Genomic DNA, 23,237 nt, shown 5'->3' with positions numbered 1-23,237 from the left:
CCACAGTAAAAAATAAAATACAACTTTTAAAAAATGTGAAGTGCCTGGGACATCTGGGAGACCCTGCCAGTTACCTAGCCAATATCTGTTCTCCTCTTTTACTTTATTAACAGAACCTTGATTTGGTGGCGACAGCAATGAGCACGGCTAAAAATCTGTTTCCCAGGCTCCCTGCAGATAGGGGTGGCCACATGACTATAAGCTGTCCAGCGAGATGTAAGCTTCCAGTGCTTGAGTGGGGTTTCTGGGACAGTTCATTAAAAGGTAGGAGCGGGAGATGTCAATTCATCCGTCATGCTCCCTTTCGCCTTTGACCCCTACCTCCTTCTTCCAGCATGAAACAGGCACAATGGCTAGGACTCCAGCCACCGTCTAGGAGGACGGAAGTCAACACTAGAGAGGCAGAGCAGAAACAGAGGCTCCTGACACAAAAGGCAGTGCGAAACTGCTATACCTTTCATGGGATGCTTATCCCTGAACTTCATGGTACCTGAGGGAAATGAGAACTCGTCTCTGATTTAAACCAGTGTTTTTCAGGTTTCTGCTACCTGCGGCTGAACACAACCCCTAACTGATTATTCAGCATGTTAACCGCTACTGCTGTCATTGTTGCTATTGGTTTTATTATCAAGAAAGAGGTGCCCCAGACCAGGGTTGTTCTGACAATGTCAGAAACACTTAGAGGACCCGAGATGTGAAATGAGTTGTCCACAGGCATAATTCATTCGAAGCTGGAGGATCTGCAGAAACAGCCCTGCCTGTCCCGGTGCCACAGATGCCATCATAAAAAATGGAGACATCATGGTGGGTCCCCTGAGGCAGCCATTTTGATTGACGTGCTTTCTCCTCAGAGAGTGAAAGTGTGAAGAGTTTTTTCTCTGCTCCTCAGGGTAGACAATGGACTGGGAGGCATCTGGCTCTTCCCTGCTAGATTTAAAGAGAAGCTGAAGGTTTCTCTAACCACATTTCTCCAGTTCTGATGAAGAGCTCACCAGCATAAACTAGCTGACATCACCGGGGTGAGTCACCCACCAACTCACAGCTCTTTAACTTCCTCTGCTTCACTGACCTTCGCCTGCACTGTGCCCCATGCCACCCACTTCCTGGTGCGGGCACACCCTGGACCTTGTCCTCAGCAGGAACTGTGCCACCAGAATCTTGATGTCTGCTATTCCAGGCCTCACTGCCCCACCCTCCTCTTCTACTCCCTACCCCTCCACTTCCGTTCTTTGGCCTCCTAATGGTCAATCCCATAGGAATGTATGTTAGGTCCAGGAAATTCTGCACTATCTATCAATATTTCAGATGCATGTGTCATTCAACCCAGCAATTCTATTCCTACGCACTTACCCTACAGATTCCTGTAATGCTCTCAATAACACATGCACAAAAATACTTAGTTCAGAAGAAAAATATTTTTAAACAATTTAAAAGATCTGTTAAATTGTTGTGCATCCATTAAATTGGGTGCTATGCAGCCATTTTAAAAACTGAGGCAAAGCTACATGCAGTAATATAAAAAGTTCCCCAAGATACATTTGTAAAAGGAGCACAATATATTATATGCTACTGCTTGTGTGGGGCAATTTATGTAAAAACATAAATATGTATGTGTACACACATACATACACATATATATTAACTGTATGTGTAATATGTATACATATGTAATACCTACCTGTACAATATGTACACACACACACGCACACTCAACACCATTGTACTGTCTCTGAAAGGATATACAAGAAAGTGCAGCAGAAGACAGACGTGGGTGGTGAGAAAAGGAGACTTACACTTTTCACTGTGTACTTTTATACTCGAATTGTATACAATGTGGAGTATTACCTATTCAAAATAGTCTTCAAGAGGATGTTCATCAAGAACTTTTCCTTGGCCGGGTTCAGTGGCTCATGCCTGTAATCCCAGCACTTTGGGAGGCCGAGGCGGCCAGATCACTAGGTCAGAAGTTCCAGACCAGCCTGGCCAATATGGTGAAACCCTGTCTCTACTAAAAACACACAAAAAAATTAGCCGGGCATGGTGGTGCATGCCTGTAATCCCAGCTACTCAGGAGGCTGAGGCAGGAGAATTGCTTGAATCCAGGATGCGGAGGTTTCGGTGAGCAGAGATCGCGCCACTGCACTACAGCCTGGGCAACAGAGGGAGACTCTGTGTCACAAAAAAAAAAAGAACTTTTCCTCTACTTCCTAGGGGAGAAAGTAGGGAAAATTTTTCCTCATAGCTTCACTGCCTCTCTGCCCCAGCCACACACCCATCAATCTACTGTAGCCCATCAGCCACTGTGTCAATCAGTAGCTGACACAGTCACTGCCCTGTCTTTACTCCTTCAGGCCTTATCTTTCAGTGGGCACTGGTGGACTGGATTTCCAGCAGCCCACCAACTCTTTGTCTGTGGCCTTTCTCTAGCCACCAGAGTCATGAGCAGCTCTCCACCCATGAGCACCCCAGAGCAGACCAACCATGGCTGATGGGAATTGGGTACACTGGTGAACACGGGTGCCCGTTGGGGGAGATGACTCTGGGGTGTATTCCACACTGGCTCCCAGAGGGCCTCAGCAGGATTAAGCTCCAGTTGTCCACAGTGCACACCCTTTGTTGGCTTCTTTCTATCCTCTGCCTCACCCCTCCCCTCCTCTGCCAGGATCACCTCCCAGTAAACTTCTTATTTGGACCCAGAGACACTCATAAAGAAAAGATGATGTAACAAGCTGTAGGGAGAGACGCTGGGACAGAGTCTCCCTCATAGCCATTGGAAGGAACCAAACCTGCTGACACCTTGATCTCAGACTTCCAGCCTCCAGAACTGTGAAATAATCAATTTCTGTTGTTTAAGTCACTCAGTCTGTGGTACTTTGTTAGGCAGCCCTAGCAAGCTAATACAGGATAGGTATCCTGTATCCAAAATGCCTGAGACCAGAATTACTTCAGAATTCAATATTTTTTTTCAGATTTGGGGATATTCGCATTATACTTACCCATGCAGAGCATCCCTAATCCAAAAATCAGACATCCAAAATGCTCCAATGAGCATTTCCTTTGAGCATCATGTCAGCACTCAAAAAGTTCCAGATTTTGGAACTTTTTGGATTTGGGACTTTCGAATTATGGATATGCAACCTATATAGTGGGTATCTGCTAATTAGATGGAAGGTCAGGGAAGGCCTCTCTGAGGAGGTAGTATGTAAGCTGAGGCCTGACTAAAGGAAAGAGCCAGCCATGCATAAGTCTAGGGCAGACCATTTTAAACAGAAGGCACAGCAAAGGCAAAGGCCCTAAGCCGTGAATGGACTTGGAAAGTTCGGAGAACAAAAGGAAGGCCAGTGTGGCTAGAGTTAGTGAGTAAAGGGGAGAATAGTACAGGAGGAGGTTGGAGAGCTCAGCTAATGACTCAGCCATCCTTCTGGCCTCCTTATTCTCACCTCCTCCTGCTTCCACTCTGCATTTTTCTCCAAGTCCCACAATCGTTAGATATAGTTATGACAACTGTCACTGTGGAGAATAAAAAAAGGAGAGCATTAGGAATTAGGATTTTAAATGGCATTAATGATGTAGCTAAACTAGAAGACACTACTCTTAGGTTATGTGAAATATTGTGAGGTTATCTGAAATACTTGGTGGATGGCATATTTGCTTGATGAAACACTAATTTCCTGGTGGAGAACAGACCAAAAATCCCTGGGCCAGAAATCAAATACTTGTTTGCCATTTGTTCTTAGATAATAAGTCATTTACTATCTCTGTGTTTCAGTTTTCTAATCTATCAAATGATTATGAAACTAACACCGTCCCTACCCAACTTGCTATATACAAAAGAAGATTATCCTCAAAAGTATCAGAAGGGAAATAAATGAAATCAAATAGAATATTGAAAGAATACCCTATCATTAACAAATAGTATTGATCCCAGAAGTCAAAAGATAGCTTAATATTTAGATATCTATTAACATTCACTATGTTAACAGATCAAAGGAAAGAAGTTGAACAATAATCAAGAAAGATGCCCAAAAGCCACTTGAAAAAATTCAACATTATTTATGATTTTTTAAAAAAAGTTATCAAGTTAAACAATTTTTCTTTTAATTTCCGGCTTGCTCAGTTAGTAACATATCCTATGTGTTTCTTATAAGCATAGTTGTAGGGTGAAGCATTTCAAAAGCCCTTGCTTTTAATGATTTGTAATTTTTTTAAAAGCTACAAAAAATGGATTTCAGTGATAACAAGCATGAAGGAATAGAATTTCATTATTTAACATTATTTTAAAGGCTTATACTTGTTGCGCTATTTTTGTGCATGTTACTGGTCATGGCCTTAATTTACTAATGCACAGTCTTAAATCAGAAATGCCATCTCCAATAACTGTGTGAAAGATGAAAGAGCACCTGCTCCGGAAGTGGGAATGAGGTTAGCAACAGAGAGCCAGGGGCACAAAATGAATTTTGATATATCTTTTTTTTTTTTTTTAAAAGAATGGGCTGCAGACATTCCTATCTCTCTCTAACAACTCAAGCTGACTGTATCTAATTGGAACACAAAGGCCGGTCATTCAGCGCTCCCACCCCTGGCTCTTCCCACTGCTTCCACACCATGGAATGAATGCTGGCAGCCCTGAATCATTTCCAAGTCACTGGGAATGCACTGCGGTCAGCAGAGCTTGTATTTATGTCAACTTTCTTCAGCGCAAAAATGATTTGCCTGTGCTTCAAGCTATAGAATCACAGTGCATTGTTATTGAAAGGGGTCTGAGCAACTCAGTCTAGACCAGTGGTTTTCAACCCTGGCTGCACATTAGGGTAATAGGGGACTTTTGAAAAACTTGGTGATGCCCAGACGTCCCCCTCAAAGTGTCTGATTTAGTTGGTCTGGTAAAAGACCCTTTCTTTTGTATTTTCGAAAAGCTCCCCTGAGTGATTCTAACATATAATCACAATTAAAAACCACTAGTCTAGTTTTGTCTTTTCATTAAATGAGCAAATGTAGGCCCAGAGTGGCCAGCTATGTCATGGCAGATAACATCGACTTACAGTTAATTCTTGTGATAAAAAAAAAAAAAAAAAAAAAAAAAAATTTGTCCAAAACCTTTTTTCCCAAAACTTGGAAATAACGCAAAAAGATGACTTGTGTCCATCCAATCCCTTATTAAAACATTGCTTTTAGCCCATCCAAGGATCATCTGACCCTCTAGTGGAAAGTAACTTTTACCATTACTACTATTAAACATCTAGACATTTTTAAGCCTGTAAAGGATTTGATGTAACTTGTGGAAAACAAATATGATGCAAATGAGTTTTTTATCATAGAGATAAAAATTATTTCTGTTCAGCTTAGATGATAACCCCAAAGGTTATGATTTTTTGCCCTGTGGGACATTAACCAGTTTGTATGTAATTTAGCAATTTTATTCCAGCATATTTTTCCATTCTCTCTCTCCCCATCTCTCTCCCTTTCTCTCTCTCTGCCTCTCTTCCTCCTTCTAATACGTCATTTGCCTGTCCCCCCCTTCCTTTTTTTTTTTTGAGACAGAGTCTTGCTCTGTCATCCAGGCTGGAGTCCAATGGTGCCATCTCGGCTTACTGCAACCTCCACCTCCCAGGTTCAAGCGATTCTCATGCCTCAGTCTCCTGAGTAGCTGAGCTTACAGGTGTGTGCCACCACGCCTGGCTAATTTTTGTACTTGTAGTAGAGATAGGGTTTCACCATGTTGCCCAGGCTGGCCTCAAACTCCTGGGCTCAAGTGATCCACCTGCTTCGGCCTCCCAAAGTGATGGGATTACAGGCATGAGCCACTGTGCCTGGCCATTTGCCTTCTCTTTGTGTCACTTTCCTCACTGGCTTTATCATTCTTCTGATTACCTCATTAATGAGAAATGAAACTTTGACACCTACTCACTAAGGGGTTATATGAAAACTATGAGTATAAATTTATAATTGTTTTGACACTTATAGGTGATGTAAATTTTATTAAAGTGTCTTAAACCATTCAGAAAGCTTTAATTGGTCATTCAAGGTATACTTTATTTTGTTCTCTAAAAATATTACTCATCAACCACAGTCAGAAGCCATAATGTTCAAGACTTTCACTTCAGGCAAAGAGGAATACCAAAGACCTAATTGATCCTGTCTTGAAAAATGCTAAAAAGTAAATGGGCAAAATATCAGAAAGTATAGTTTTTAGACACTGAACATCAGACAGCACAGGACAGTGATCTCTAAGAGCGGGAAAGCAAATAAGGTGAGCTCTATGATTGTTCCAGCTCACAGCCTGGAAAATTTCCAAGATACCATGCAGAGAGGAGGTCTCATTTAGTTGAGAAGATGGAGCTGGGAGTCTGGAATCAGTAGTGAGAAAAATCAGCCTTATACCAAAGGCAGCTCTCATCCCACCTCACAAAGCTTAAAAGCAAACTTCAAATTGTTTTCAAGTAATGCACATGTATCTCAGAACAAACATTAAAAATATTTATGGGACTATAAAAAAAACCAATACCCAACAAGGTAAAATTTACAATATCTGGCATCCAATCCAAATTACTGGGTATGCAAAGAAACAGGAAAATATAACTCATAATGAAAAGAAAAATTGATCAGTAGAAACAGACCCAGAAATGATAAAGATGTTAGAATTAGTAGAGAAAAACATTAAGACATGTAGTTATGGTCAGGCTCAGTGGCTCACACCTATAATCCTAGCACTTTGGGAGACCAAGGTGGGCAGATAGCTTAAGCTCAGGCATTCCAGACCAGCCTGGGCAACATGGTGAAACCCCAGCTCTACAAGAAATACAAAAATTAGCCAGGTGTGGTGGCATGTTCCTATAGTCCCAGCTACTCAGGATGCTAAGGTGGGAGGATCTCTTGAGCCCAGGAGGTCAAGGGTGCAGTGAGCTGAGATCATGTCATTGTAGTTATTGTAACTATATTCCATATGTTCAAGAAGGTGGAGGAAAGATTAAGCACATTAAAAAGAGACATGAGATCTATTTAAATGACCCAAATAGAACTTCTGGAAATGAAAACTACAACACCTGAAAAAAATACACTGGGTAGGATAAACAGTGGATTCAACACCAAATAAAATAATATTAGTGAACTTGACGGCATAGCCATAGGAACCATGCATAATAAAACTCCTGGAGAAAACACACTGAAAAATGAAGAGAACATCAGACACCTTTAAGCAGTCCAATACACATATAATTGGAGTATTGCAGTCCAATTATATATTATTTTCCTGTTGGAAAATGTGAAGACAGAAAAAATTTTTAAATTAATTTTTTTAGATGTAAATTTGTCTAAAGATATAAACTCACAGATTTGAAGCTCAACCAACACCAAGCTTAGGAAACAAGAAGAAAATTTCATGAAGGCATAATGTTATCAAATTGCTTAAAATAAAGAGAAAATCTTCAAAGCAACCAGAGGAAAAAACCATAAAGTTGTGTTGTCTCCCCCAGATTGTGAAATGTTCAATTCCACACACCCTGGCCTTGGGAAACCACGGGAGGTAGAGCTTGGGACCTGTGGACCTAGAGAACATGGCTTTGCTTTCCAAGTAGAGTTCGGAATGCAAACAATATTTAATATGAACTATAAATATTTTTTCTCATTTATTAATGTTTCCCTTTAGCAGGGCAGGAACTAGCATGAGTTGATGTATCAGGTACAAATTTTAAGGAGCACTAAAAAATTAATCAAATAACATTTTCGTGTAATATTTTAAAGAATTAAAATGAATGCAAGAAAATCATTATCAAAATATCACATTTTTAATGAAGACAGGATCTGACCCTGTGCTTGCATGACTCACTTCCTTCTCCTTGGTCCAAGTCCTACTCTTTAGAAAGAGACCTGACATATCTTTAGGGCAATTTCTTCTTATCTCCCCCACGCACTGCCCATAGTAACTCCAGTCCTCCACCCACTCATCACTGATTTCATTTTGGTGCCAAGACAAGAAACCTTAAGGCCATCTCCTTCTTTCTTTTTTTTTCTTTTTTGAGATGGGGTATCACTATGTTGCCCAGTCTGGTTTCAAACTCCTGGGTTCAAGTGATCCTCCTGCCTCAGCTTCCCAATGTGCTGAGATTACAGGGATGAGTTGCCACACCTGGTCTTTCTTATTAGTTCGTATTTTCTTCATGTTTCTCCCTTCTAGAGTCACAAGAGAATTATCCTCTTCAAGTACAAATTATATTCCTAAAATGTTTGCCTCTGTACTAGAAAGGGTTATCAAGGAATTGGAGTCTTTTAACAGCGGGTTTCTAATCAAATGGATAAAGAGCAAACAAAAATAAACGCCAAGCTTTACTTACTAGCAAAAAGTGGAGTTTTTTAATTCATTGACAGATTTTGTGTGTGTGTTTTAATAGGGCTATTGTGTTGCTATGGTTGCAAGCTTGCATTGGTACTTTCACTAGGAGACGATGTGGTCTGAACATTCCTCCCACTTTTCACATCTGCCCACGTGTTCCACACAGGGATTTGGTAACCTGGCTTCTAGCCCTAGCCTCCTCTGCCACCCCAGGGAGTGCAAATTTTTCAGCCCTTTCTCAGAAAATCTGAATTCCTCTGAGATGTGGTAAAGTTAAACCCTGGCTCCTGCTCAGAATGCAGATTGTCAAACCACAGAATGTTGATCAGCTTCCTGTGTGAGCCTCGATAAATTTTTACCTCTTTGGCATGATATTTATACATGAGATCGCTATGAGATAATTAATTTAATAATGACCTCTTCAAAATGAATTTAGAAATTAATCACTAGAGAAGATATAGAGCTTAAAAATTCTGGGTGTTTTTCTTAAAGCAATCGTTACGAAACATTTTGCAAACTAAGAATGACCTCTTAATGATTCTTCTAAGTTCTAGATATTCATATATCTTTTCTCTTGTCTCTTTTCCTCTCCCTGCTCCTTTTTCTCATCTTTTCTTCTCGTCTCCTTACCAATTTTTCTTACAACACTTACACCCATCGTCCAAGCTTGCCTCTCTGAAATTTGATTCTCAAATCTGATCACAGATGTCTCCTAAGAAGTAAAGAGGCAGTGGGGACAATGGTCCCAAGTATTGTGTCTTCTGGGGACCTGCCCAGTGGTGGCAACTGAAACTGGTTGTCCTCAAGCTTGGGAAGAACTTCTAACCAAGACCTTGGTTCAGGCCCTTATCATTTTTTAGTGGCCTCTGTTCCTGCATCCCTTTTCTAGCTTTTCTCCATACTCCAAACTGAGTGATCCTTCTAAACTGCAATTCCACCTGCATGGCTTGAAATCCTCTAGCGGTTCCCCAATGTCAATTAGATGAGGTCCAAGCTCCATAAAATAGCATTTGAGGCCTTTAGTGATCTGGATCTTCCTCCCACCCTGACCTTGTCTCTCAGGGTTCATGCTCCTCCCTATCCCTAATCTCCCCTTCCCCTGCCTCCCATACACACACACAGACACACAGACACACACACACACACACACACAGCCACACCAAACACACTCCTTACCCAGCCACACTAAACTCTGTATCTCCCAGTCCCCGCAATGCACCATGTTTTCTTATGCCACCATATAAGGTTTTCTCAGCCTAGACTCCCCATTCTATAAAATTATGATATAGTTTCAAGACTAATCTTTTATCTTTGAAGAGTGTTCATAGCACTCTGTCTCATTCCTTTCATTGTCTCTGTTTTTTGTAGCCAAATATATTTATAACTGTTCTGACTATGAATTAGAATTCTCTGCAATGTAATTTCATGGTATTAGGTGCCAGCAGGAAACTGAACACTAAAGTCAGTGATCCACATGTCTGAAAATGTTTGAATGCTTAACACTATGTAGCTCTGGTTTAAAAAGAAATGAGTCATTTGTGGGTCCTTGGGTTGCCACTCTCTGAAATCTCCAAGTACTTTCAAACACGCACATTCTCACATTCACTGGCCTTCCTCGGCTCCCACGTGGCATCACTCACATTCTGATGCTCTGCACAAGATGCTTTTTATATGCAAAAGCAGCAGAAATTCGGGTTGCCTGAGCCATTGGCAAGTGTATAGTGGTTTGAATGCTCCCTGACACAAGTCCACCACTCTCCTGAGCACTCCTGAGTGGTGACCACAGGGCTGTTCTAATCCAACTATGTGAGAAGAGCTGTGGTGGAATGGACAGAGCATGAGACTGCAGGTGACGAGACCTGAATGCAAATTCCCACTCTATACCTCTGCTTCTATCATGTGGCCTCAAGCAAGTCATTTCCCCTCTGTGTGTCTCAATTATCTCATCTAAGACCAGTGAGTTGGGCAATATCAATATTTTTCAACTGGAACCATAGACTGCCTGCATCAGAATCACCAGGGCTGCTTTTTGGCAGTGTCGACACCTCAGCCCCTCTCCTGACCTAGTGAATCACATTCTTTAGCCGAGGAATGAGAAGAGAGTTTAGAGAATAGGAGAGATCCAGAGTCAACATTTCTAATAGCTTCTAAAGTAACTCTTGTGGTTACCAAAATCTGGGACCCACTGAAATAGATGATCTCTTAAGCCAGGCTGTCTACCAGGCTCTTGCCACACAGTGCTAACTTTCTATCTGTTGTGAGATGTACCACAAATAAAAAAAATTATGAATGATTTTTCTAAAATATTATAATTTAGAATTGTATTTAGAATATAAAATTTAGAATTGTATTTAAATTTAATTACAGGGGATTCAATGTAATCACTATAAATTGCACCACTTCTATTCATTCATTTTCCCTTTCATTTGCTTGAGCAGGAAAGCAAGGCACAAATTTACCCCAAAACTCCAGAAATAGCACATAACCTGCAGCTTATTTTACCTATTCACAGGCTATTGGAGCATATCTCTTTGGTGCCAGACATCACCTGCCCTGAATTCACCTGATTTCAGCCATGACAGTGGTGGGGCAGTTCATGGGAGCTCAAATTTGTCTTCAGCTGGCAGTGTCCCACCTCAAGCACTCACCAAGTAGTTTGTTTGATTTTTTAAATAACAGCCTATCAAGATAAAATTCACAGTCTACAAAGTTCACTCTTAAAGTGTTCAATTCAGTGGTTTTAGTATATTCTCAATATTGTGCATTAATCAGTGCTATCTAATACCAGAGCATTTTCGTCATCTCAGAAAATACCCATTAATGGTCAATTTCCATTTCTTTCTCCTCCACCCCTGGCAACCACTAATCTACTTTCTGTCTCTATAGATTTGTCTTTTCCGGACATTTCATATGACTGGAACCATACAGTACATGGTGTTCTGTGACTGAATTCTTCCACTTAGCATAGTTTCCAAGGTTCGTCCATGTTGTAACATGTATCAGAACTTCATTCCTTTTTGTGACCAAATAATATTCTCTTATATGAACGTACCACATTTTGTTTATCCATTCATCCCCTAACGGACATTTGTTTCCACTTTTTGACAGTTATGAATGACGTTGTTATGAGCATCCATAGTATGTGATGAGTGTTTTTCTTGCTTTTTTCAATAGTCTCTTTGTCTTTCAAAAGTTTGACTATAATGCATGTATCTAAGTGTCAATCTTTTTGAGTTCTCCTGCTTGGAGTTTGTTGACCTTTTTGGATGTGCAGATTAATGTTTTTCATCAAAGTTTGGAAGCTTTTAAGCCACGATTTCTTCAAATATTTTATCCCCTTCTATCCCCTTCTCTTTCTCCTGTCCTTGGATTCTGATTATTTGTATGTGGTATGCTTGATGGTGTCACACAGGTCTCTGAGGCTCCATTCATTTTTCTTTATTCTTTTTCTTTCTGTTCCACAAGCTAGGCACTCTCAGTTGACCTGCTTTCAAGTTCACAGATTCTTTCTTCTTCTAGTGCAAAGCTGCTGTTGATACCCTCTAGAGAATTTTTCATTTCAGTTGTTGTACCTTTTTCTTATTCTCTTTGGATTGCTGTAACAAAATACTATAAACTGTGTGGCTTATAAAGAACAGGCCGGGCGCAGTGGCTCATGCCTGTAATCCCAGCACTCTGGGAGGCCAAGGCGGGCAGATCACAAGGTCAGGAGATCGAGACCATCCTGGCTAACATGGTGAATCCTCATCTCTACTAAAAATATAAAAAATTAGTGGGGCGTGGTGGCAGGCACCTGTAGTCCCAGCTACTCGGGAGGGAGCCGAGATTGTGCCACTGCACTCCAGCCTGGGCGACAGAGCAAGACTCCGTCTCAAAAAAATAAATAAATAAATAAATAATAGAAATTTATTTCTCACAGTTCTGGAAGCTGGAAGTCCAAGATAAGATTGCTAGCATGGTCAAGTTCTGGTGTGGGCTCTGCCCTCATGATCTAATCACCTTCCCAAGGCCCCACCTCCAAATACCATCTCACTGGAGATTCAGTTTCAACATATGAATTCGGGGGACATAAACATTCAGTCTATAGCAACTTTCCAAGCCCTGAATTTCTATTTAGTTCTCTTTTTTCTTGTAATTTATAACTCTTTGTTGATATTCTATATTTAATGGGCCAACATTCTTATACTTTCTTTTAATTCTTTAGACATGGTTTCTTTGAGATCCTTGAACATATTTATGATAACTAATTTGGAGTCTTTGTATAGTAAGTATAACATCTGGGTTTCCTCAGAGGCAGTTTCTATTGACTGCTTTTTTTCCCCTGTGTGTGGGCCATACTTATGTGAGGCCTTGTAAACCAACAACCTTGAAACCGAGAATTATGAAAACACAGCTGAAAATAGCAGCTACTGCAGGGTGCAGAACAGGCTCGGAGTTCCCCAAAAGCCCATCCCTGGAGAGCTGTCACTACTTGATCTGTCAGGCTTATCGTTTTTTGCTGAAAACTAGATATTGTAAATTATGTGTCACCTCTGGAAATCAGATTCCCCTTCCTTCCCAGGGTTTGCTGTTATTGCTCTTTGTTGTTTTTTTATTGCTGTTGTTTGTTTAGTGACTTTCCTCGACTAATTCTGTTTAGTCCATATTCTTTGCCCTATGCAGCCACTGGAGTCTCAGCTTGGTTAGCTTAGCGGTCAGCTCATAACTGGACCGAGATTTCCTTAAACTCTTTGAACCAGTGATTCTCCCAGTCTTTGCCTGTGGCATCTGTGTGTGTGTTGGGTCACTCCTTCAACATTTTACTTATTTTATTTTATTTTTTTTGAGATGGAGTTTCACTCTTGTTGCCCAGGCTGGAGTGCAGTGCCGTGATCTTGGCCCACTGCAACCTCTGCCTCCCAGGTTCAAGCGATTCTCCTGCCTCAGCCTCCCGAGTAGCTGGGATTGCAGGCACCCACCACCATGCCCAGCTAATTTTGTATTTTTAGTAGAGATGGGGGTTTCTCCATGTTGGTCAGGCTGGTCTCGAACTCCCGACCTCAGGTGATCCCCCGGCCTTGGCCTTCCAAAGTGCTGGGATTACAGGCGTGAGCCACCGTGCCTTGGCCCACATTTTAGCAGCCATTTCCAATTCTGCCTTTGCTTTCACTTCCTGCATATACAGAGCTTTAAAGTCAGCCACAGGTGAGAGCCTAGGGTCTTCCAGTACTTTCCTGAGCATGTACACAGCCCTATGCATGCATGTGGCCTTCTAGATTTGTAGGAATATGGCAAAGCTTTTCAAAACCCATACAGTTATCTAATTCACCAGTGTTCCTCTTATATTTTGTGCTTAGCCTCTTGTTAGCCTGAATTTGTAATGGCACCTCAGGTAATGCAATGTTAAACAACTGCCTTTTGCTTATTGTTGATAAATGCCCTATGGGTAGGGCTGGTTGCATGGAACAACCTCTGAGTCAAATGAAACAGACGAGCCCTGAGCTGTCAGGTCAAATAGTGACAAATTCTCTAGGGATGGGCTTTTGGGGGACTCCGAGCCTGTTCTGCACCCTGCAGTAGCTGCTAGGCTGTGTTTTCACAACTGCCGGTTTTAAGGTTGTTGATTTGCATGGCCTGACCGAGCTGTGAGAGTGGGATGGAATTAGGGCAATTTGGAATGCCACAGGTCTTGCTCCTCTTACTGAGATTCAGCTGTTTTTCTTGAGTAAGCACCCAGACTGCTGTAAGACTTTAAGTAATTTCCAGAATTCTGAAAAAGTTGATTTGGACAGTTCTCACTGCTTGTATGAAAGAGCAGATTTCTGAAGGTCTTTACTCCACCTTTCTAGAAGATCCCCTCACCCTAATTTGTTGGTTTTGTTTTTGTTTTACCTCATGGCTCTCTCTGAATTCCACCTCACCATGTGCAAGCATAAACACAGAATTTCAGAGCAGTAAAGCTCAGGGAAATCCTCAAGAGCATGTGACTGGAGAACCCTTCAGGTGGATGCTTCTGAGAGGCATTTGGCATGCTTCTCCACGGTCCGGGGAGAATCAAGGCCCCCTTGCTTAATGTGACAAACTCCATCATGTGCCCTTATCTTAGTTTTTCCTCCTTTCCCGCCTTATCTCATCACTCCTTAACTCCTGCTTCATAGAATCACCTCTCAAATAAACTGCCTGGGCCGGAAGCAGTGGTTCACGCCTGTAATCCCAGCACTTTGGAGGTTGAGGCGGGTGGATCATTTGAAGTCAGGAGTTCAAGACTAGCCTGGCCAACATGGTGAAACCCCATCACTACTAAAAATACAAAAATTAGCCGGGCGTGGTGGCACACACCTGTAATCCCAGCTACTCAGGAGGCTGAGGCAGGAAAATCACTTAACGCTGGGAGGCGGGGTTATGGTGGGCCAAGATCATGCCACTGCACTCCAGTCTGGGTGACAGAGTGAGACCCTGTCTCAAAAAAATAATAATAAAATAATAATAATAATAAACTGCCTGCATCCAAGTCCTTGTTTCAGGCTCTGCTTCAGAGAGGGCCCAAACTGAGACAGCTACCAGCTCTGGTGAACTGCATATAGTTCTGTGACTCATGAATAACCGTGGTGCTTTGCTTTACCACAATTTGCTGTTTTTGATCAAATCTGGATACATTCAGTGGAAGTATGTAGCACTCATGTGTATCCCAGCAAAAAAGAGGGGAATGGGCATTAAGAAGAGGTATTCTAAAACACTATGATTTCTAGGACAGAAAAAGAACAGCCCACACATCAAGTTAGGAGGAAAAAACAGGATATCTCCATATGCCACAACTCCTGTTTTCCCTAAACCTGATTTTATAACCAGAAAAGCAGTTTCCCAGGCACTAAGTTCATCCTGCAACCGGCTAGAATGAGGCAAGCTCCTTCTTGGTTGAGCCATCAGATAATTACCACAGAGCCATGAGAATGGTGATTTGGATGCTGACAACAGAAATAATCGTCACTATTACTGACTGCTGACCATGCTAGGCACTGTGCATGCATTTTCTCACAGGGCCCTCATCATAACCACTGAAAGCTTGGACTACTCCAGCTAATGAGTTACCACCTGATGGGAACATGCATCTGGGTTGCCTTGCCTTATTGGGTGCCAGAAGGCCATGGTGTTAGTCTAAATTGAATTTGGATTTACATAAAGTGCATGTGTATCCCCAGACTTCCAAATGTTCTTTTAACTATATAAAGTCTCATTGGCAGCATCCTTCCATCTGGAGATTCTTGTTGCTATTCCAAGTGGCCACAAGATGCATTAGCCACTGAGACACATGGTTACTGTTACCAGGTACTCACAGAAAAACTTGCACCTAGCAGTTTCCACCAAGAAGCCTACCAACGGACTCTGGAAAGATTTAAGGGGTCCATGTCATCACCTCACATAAAGGTAAGGGGTGACTTACTTACCAGCAAGAAGCTTTTCAGCTATCACTAGGCAAGGAGTATGGCCTGTCTCAGTGGCAGAGCTAGTGAAAATACAGGTCAGGCCACCGATTCAGGGAACAAAAGATATCTTTCAACTAAGGATTTAGCACAGATGATAAAAATTAATTTAAAAATTGTAGAGACATACTCAATCTACTTTTAGGGATAAACCACACACAGTTTTCTATGCTGTTAATTGTAAGTAGCATCTAACACGCTGTGGCACCAATTCCTCCTCACCAGAATTATTGTGAAACCCTTCCCCAAGCGTGGTTAGTACTAAGCTGGGCACCTAATGGGAAGAATAATAACAACAACAATGTTCTAATTTTTTTTTAGTATCTGTTAGGTGCCAGGAACTTCACATTCATTATCCCTTACTTTCAGAAGTACCCTCTAAGCAAATTAAGTAGTACCCCTGAATAGTCCCCATTTAACCTGTGAGGAAATTTCCAATCAGAGAGGTTAATTTGCCTTACTATATGATATTTAAATGAATATTTGTGTGAGCAAATAAGTGAGGATGAATGAATGAAATTAAGTAATTAAGTGAAAGGGGAAGCTGGGCTGTTCTAAAGCTGGTCTAGTAACGCTTCTGCTTTTGTCATATTAGTAATGAAATAGTCTAGCTTTTTTTTTCTGCCTTCTCTTCAATATTTCATGTCAGGCTGGCATTTCCTCATAGTGGATCCAAAATACTAATTTCAGAGCATATTCGTATTTTCCTATCTGCAATGCCTTATAGTTCTGTTTTTTGAATACAGAGATTTTTGACCCAAATAAAGATATTGTATTTCTGCCCTTAATAGTCCACATATGGATGAAATGCCATAAATAGTGAAAGAACTCTAAAATACCTTGACAACATGCTTATAAATGTTTTTTGTCAAAGGAAACTTTTGCACTTAAATTTTTTAAGTTTCTCGGGGTTTTTTAGGTTTATTGGTTTCTCTTTTATCATAAAATATTATAAACTCATTACAGAAAGTTTGACAGAACAGAAAATAATAGAAATAACTATTTATAAATACACATAATATCACTTTTGAAAAACAACCATTGTTAGTATTCTGGTGCACTCTATTTCCTTTTGGTCTTCTTTCTGTGCATGAGACTTTTTTCTGCAAGGGCAGGAGATACTTTTATACCTATCACTTCTTGTTTCTCTTAACCTTTAGTGTTGAAAAGGGGTTGGTCACCCTATAGTCTTTTTAAACATCATTTCTAATGACAGCCAAGAAAGATATTTATTGCATTATTATCTGGGCGGCAATATCTATGTCCAACAATTGCAGAATAGTTAAGTATATCTACTTGAATGCATCTAGTACAAAGTATTTTCTAAATTTACATTTATTTCCTTAGAAGGTGGAGATATATACAATTCTTCACCCCAAAATTTATGAGCTCTGCCCCATCTTGCTTTGTGGTATCTCTGACTATTAAATATTAACTTTAACAGGTTTGGTAAAAGCCATCCCTTAGTTTCCTAATAGTTTGCTATTTATCTATTTGATGTCCACAATTGCTTAAACTTGCTGCCTTGAATACGAGAGAAAAGATGGCAGATATTCCTAAAGGCTCTTCCAATTCTCAGGCCTGCCAAAGGACCAAATTGCCAGTTTTCCCTGCTTATTGCAGCAAGTGAAACAATACAGTTCAAAAACATAGAAAGGCAAGGCTAATTATATCCCTCCTACCCCCCACTTCACTTCCACCCCCTGAGGAGACCCATACTAACAATTCAGTGGACATCCTTCCACCTTTTTCCTTCTTCCTGGTTCATAACACCACTACAAGCATGCATAAAGAGACACGTTAGAGATTCTTACTAAGCTATTTCCAGATGAAACTATACAGTGTTTGCGATTTGCTTAAAATTGTTTATTTGCTTAATTTGCTTGAAAATTTATTTATATGTAAATATACACACACATACATCCTTTTACGTAAATAGGATTATATTTCACATGGTGGGCCCTTTTAAAACAGCCTCTGTTTTTCTAACGTTCTTCTATCTCTTACATTCATGTCCATCCAGTTATCCTGACCTACTCTCCACCCTCACACCTCATGTTAACAACCAGTGTGTGCCCTTCTGTACTTTTTATATACACATAGCCACATACAAGCATATTTATGCATATACATATATACACAGATATTCATAAATCATCAGATAAATGGTAGGATTTTGACACTGGTTACTTTACAAGCATGGGATCCTACTATGCTTATCTCTTTACGTATCTGATTTTTCTTCTTCAACAATAATTTGTGGCAATCCCTGTGAGTCAATTGTTTTCATTCTTTTTAATGATTACATGTTATTCTATGATGTAAATGTACTCTTATTTATCTATTTCCTTATCTTTACTCATTTACACTATTTCCAGTCTTTTATCACTAGAGCAATGCCAAATAAACATCTCGTATTCATGTTCTTACCTACTGCTGCTTATATTTCTTTCTTTTTTTTTTTTTTTTTGAGACGGAGTCTCGCTCTGTTGCCCAGGCTGGAGTGCAGTGGCACGATCTTTGCTCACTGCAACCTCTGCCTCCTGAGTTCAAGCGATTCTCCTGCCTCAGCCTCCCAAGTAGCTGGAACTACAGGCATGCACCACCATGCCCAGCTAATTTTTTTGTATTTTTAGTAGAGACGGAGTTTCACCGTGTTAGCCAGAATAGTCTCAATCTCCTGACCTCGTGATCCGCCCGCCTCAGCTTCCAAAAGTGCTGGGATTACAGGCGTGAGCCACCGCGCCCGGCCTACTGCTTATGTTTCTATGACATAGGTCCTCCACAGTTGGGATTGCTGCATTAAAGGATATATGAATTTTTAGTTTTAAAAGATGTAACCAAATTGCTTTCTTCACAGCCTGTAAGAGCTTAACAACATAAATGTATAAGAATTCGCATTTCCGTCTCCATCAACAGTGGGTGTTTCATACCCCTCATGCTAACAACAGTTCAGAAGAGAGATCCCTTATTTCCACTTTAATTTGCATTTTCTGCTAGCTAGTTTAAGCATCTTCTCAACTCTTCTTATATCATATTGACTATTTAGATTTGCTCCTTTAAGAACTATTTACTCACATTATTTGCTCATTTTTTTCCTATGAGTTTTAAATAGCCATCTGAATTACAAATTTTTTCCAACTCTCTCATTTGCCTTTTGAGTTTGTTTATAGTATCTCTTACCTGGTAAAGAGGATTTTTGGTGTCTTGGTTTGTTTGTTGGGTTGTTTGTTTTTGAGCCAGTGGTATAAAACTAGCTCACTCTAACCTTACATTCCTGGGCTCAGGCAATCCTCCCACTTCAGCCTCCAAGTAGTTGGAACCACAGGCGCCTGCCACCACACCCAGCTCATTTAAAAAAAAATTTTTTGGACCAGACGTTGTGGCTCATGCCTGTAATCCCAGCACTTTGGGAGGCTGAGGCGGGCAGATCACAAGGTCAGGAGATGGAGACCATCCTGGCTAACACAGTGAAACCTCATCTCTACTAAAAATACAAAAAAATTAGCCAGGCGTGGTGGTGGGCGCCTGTAGTCCCAGCTATTCAGGAGGCTGAGGCAGGAGAATGGCATGAACCTGAGAGGCGGAGCTTGCAGTGAGCCAAGATCGCGCCACTGCACTCCAGCCTGGGCGACAGAGCGAGACTCCAACTCAAAAAATAAAAAAATTTGTAGAGACATGATGTCGTTATGTTGCCCAGGCTAGTCTTAAACTCCTGGCCTCAAGTGATTTTCTCATCTCTGCCTCCCAAAATGCTATGAATACAGGTGTGAGCTACCTCATCCAGTTGTATTTTGTTTTGTTTTGTTATGCTGCAAATATTTGTCTTTATATATCATATAGTAAAATATTTCTGCCTTTTATAGCTCCTGTGTTGCCTGTCTAGTTAAGAAGTTCTTCCCTCACCTTCCAAGTTATATAGTTAAGTCTCCTAGATTTTTTCCTAATCTTTTATGGTCTTTCTTATCACAAAGTGCTGGAATTACAGGTGTGAGCCACAGTGCCTGGCCAATTTTAGCTACTTTCTACATTAGTTTTCTCTTAGGTTATATGCAGTCAAATAGTATAGTGCATTATCCACTTTTAACTATACATAGTTAAATGGATATAGTTATCCATTTCCATTTAACTATACATATTGCAAGATTCATTTCATACCATTAATTTCTCCCCAAAGTATCTTCTCCTATCTTGAGGTCTTTGGATTTATCTGTTGTTTGCTTAAAATCTTTCCGCAAGTAAATTACTCAGATTTTGTTAAGGTCCTCTTTGATTATTTTATTTACTCTTCCTCTCTATGGCTGCCGGCCCCGGTGGTGAAGTGTTATTTTCTTTGGTCTCGTCTTGAAGATACTTTAGTAGTAGCGGTCTTGAGAGTGTTGGAAGTGCAGCAAGCTCTGATCTTCTGACCCATTGCATCACTGAAAAAGTTTCTAAGCCTCTGCTGAGGAATTGGGAGGATATTCCTCTTCTCCATGGGCCTCTCATGCTCACTCAACCTCAGAAGTGGAGAGAACACAGCCTTCCCCTTCAGCCTCCTGGGAACCAAAAAGACAGGCACACTCCTGCTAACCAATGTTAACCTTCTCCCTGAGTGCCCCATGGTCCAAGCCTTCCTCAGGAACTGCAGCTTTCAAATCTTCCCCAAGGTTTTGCCTGGGTTTTATCTGGCTTTAGGGTAGTAGCAGGATTGGAAGTTTAGCTACAGCTCTCTGGCTGATGCCCTCCAGGCTCCACCTACCTCCCAGCCCCAACTCCTAGTTAGCCAGGAAGAGGTTGGAGGTTGGAGTGTTTAGTAATTAAAGAGAAGGAAAGGTGAGACTTGCTGAGCCATCATCTTTCCAGCATGCCCTGTTCCATGTTTAATATATACCTTGATTATGTAAATATCCACAACGATTTAGTGTTGTCCTTCACTGATGTAGGATGTGCTCCTCCTTCAAGTAGCTCCCTCACCTTACCCAACACCATCTGACCCAACTCCATCTCCTTCAAGAGCTTCCTGCTTAGTTGATGCACCAGTAAATCCAACTCTAAGGGATCTGGTTCAGAAAGCACTGGGGGCATTTATATTCTTTTATTTGAACACCTTTTCTCTAGGGGTTAATTCCCCACTGTGTGTATCTTGAAGTGGAAGCCAGAAGGACCCAATAATTTCCCTCATCCTTAACACATAAAGTAAAGGACATTGGTTTCGCCAATCAGATGCTTTCATCAGACACTTCGACTCTTGTGGTGGTGACACAAAGATCTAGGGATGGCTGAGAAATTGTATGTGTCTCCAGATGATCTGGAGAGTCTTCCATTTGATTAGGTTCATTTGAATTTAATCAATGAGGTCATAGTCAGCAGATCAGTTAGCACAAAGTTGGTTTATTTGTTAGGATTTGGTTTAGCAAATAGTCCCAAAACAATAGTGACTTAAATAAAACAGCTGTTTATCTCCTCCTCATATGAATAAAGTCCAGAGGTAAGAGGTCTTAGGCAGGTATGAGCCCCTCTATGGGGTCAGAAACCCAGGTCCTTCTATCTTTGCTCAGCAGCACTGTAGTTCTGTCCTTGTCTATATTTTCCAAGGTGACTTGCCATTCCATCCACACTACAAGCGCAGGAAAGAGGACCCCAGTAGGACACTCTTTTCCCTTTGAGAACATTTTCACAAAGTTACAAATTAACCTCTGCTCACATATGATTGGCCATTATTTAGTCACATGCCCATACCTCACTGCCTATATCCTAGGTACCTTTGTACCCAGCTACGAATTTTGTCGCTATGGAAGGAGTGAATAAATACTGGTACAACGGAAGTTTCTTCACAGTTGATGAATAAAATCAACTTTCTATGAAAAATGATTTTCTACTTTAACAGCTTTCCTCATTGAACACTCTACAAATGTAATCTTTTATAACAAACATTCAAAGTCCCAAGATTATAAGTCAGCAGGTTTGGAAACTATTAAAACTATTAAAATTCCATTATTTCAGAAAAAGTCTTTGTTCTTTTTATCAAAGAGCAGTAGACAGAAACTCAATATAATAAGAAGAAAGGGAATAGAAACTAACCCAAATTTTATGGTCCCTGGTAGGCAAACATTTTCTAACCTGCTTTCTTATCTCTCACAACAAGATGTCAAGAAGCCAACTCAGAGTTTTGTATTCCCAAACACATGTATCAACAGTTTTTTATTATCTCAAGATTCCTATTACTAAAGATTTTAATTTATGACTTCAGCTTAATTTTAATCATGGCTGAATTAATGAATTTGGGGCTTATGTTTTTTTAGGTCTACAGTCATCCATTCTTCTGTGCTAGGGTCAACTCTAGTTGTTTTATAAGAACATCTAGAAGTGCTGTCTGCTTACTGGGATTCTCCCACAGCACATGATTAGAGAAGGTGGATGACTGTATTTAGATGTAAATTTTCAGTGGATTTCTCAGGTTCCTCACAGCCTTAAAGGCTTATCCAGGAGTATAACCTAGAGTTCACTAGAAGTAATATTTGTGAAGGACTCTTCATTGCATTGGGCACACTAAAAGTTTATCCTCAAATCAAACCATCAGAAATTTGTACACTTGTGTTTTGTGCCTTGTAGAATTAATTTCACTGATGTGAGTTTTGGCATTGCGTCATAGATATTAAAGTGTATTGTAAAGAATGGCCCTGTGAAACTTGTTATTGTACTTGCAGTAAAGATGATGTCAAGGACATTATTCACTGACTTTCCCTGTGATTCATAAAAAAATTACTATTGTCTCATCCTAAAGAGTAGTAGGTGGAATCCAGGGTGGGTTGGCTTCAGCTGCCCTGGCATATAGGCCGAAGGGCAATTGTCAGGATAATGAATTTTAACACTGCCTAGAGAACAGATGTTTGGAAATCAGAGCATTTGCTTGTGACATAAAACTCAGAACACAACTTCTAAACTTTGAAATTACCTCTATGGATAGAGCTCCAAGTGCATTTTCAGGACAGAAGAAGCAGATCATGACCTGAAATAAACATAGACACACACACACACACACACACACACACACACACACACACACACACACCAGTGAAAGAGGAGAAATAGAAAAGCAGATCAGCCCAGGGGAAAAATATATCAAAGAAGTCCATTTCCACCAGAAGCCCTCCTTGCTTTGGCAATCATGGGATACTCAGCCTGCTTTCCTGCTACTGCCAGACAGCCTACAGGAAAAGCTGCTTTTAACAATAATTGTCAGCCTGGAAAAGTTTTCCCCAACCCTTGTTGTTGGCAGCTTGGGGCAGAAATAGGAGCTGGATTGATTTTTGTTTTTTAGCAACTGCTAAACCTGCAGTCTGAAGGTCAATCATGAAAATAGGAGAATCTGCATTCAGACTGACATATAAAAGGAGAAAGGGGATAACAATAATAAATAATAATAGAACCTACTTCCTAGAGCTATGAGGGCTAAATGAGGTAAT

General features: G+C 40.7%; 3 annotated features.

Annotated features, from left to right (window-relative positions):
- Positions 441–1,640: an enhancer, noted in NCBI's record as "P300/CBP strongly-dependent group 1 enhancer chr2:204675919-204677118 (GRCh37/hg19 assembly coordinates)". NCBI's record gives its function as "activates an origin of replication core promoter dependent on BRD2, BRD4, P300/CBP, MED14 and CDK7 cofactors, with strong dependence on P300/CBP, by STARR-seq in HCT116 cells {active_cell/tissue: HCT116}" and the evidence as "EXISTENCE:reporter gene assay evidence [ECO:0000049][PMID:35650434]".
- Positions 12,697–12,846: an enhancer, noted in NCBI's record as "active region_17015". NCBI's record gives its function as "activates an Ori minimal core promoter by ATAC-STARR-seq in GM12878 lymphoblastoid cells {active_cell/tissue: GM12878}" and the evidence as "EXISTENCE:reporter gene assay evidence [ECO:0000049][PMID:35858748]".
- Positions 12,917–13,006: an enhancer, noted in NCBI's record as "active region_17014". NCBI's record gives its function as "activates an Ori minimal core promoter by ATAC-STARR-seq in GM12878 lymphoblastoid cells {active_cell/tissue: GM12878}" and the evidence as "EXISTENCE:reporter gene assay evidence [ECO:0000049][PMID:35858748]".

This window comes from Homo sapiens, chromosome 2 (genome assembly GCF_000001405.40).
Source record: "Homo sapiens chromosome 2, GRCh38.p14 Primary Assembly".
NCBI classification, from domain to species: domain Eukaryota; kingdom Metazoa; phylum Chordata; class Mammalia; order Primates; family Hominidae; genus Homo; species Homo sapiens.
This window is presented reverse-complemented; position numbering and strand designations above follow the sequence as displayed.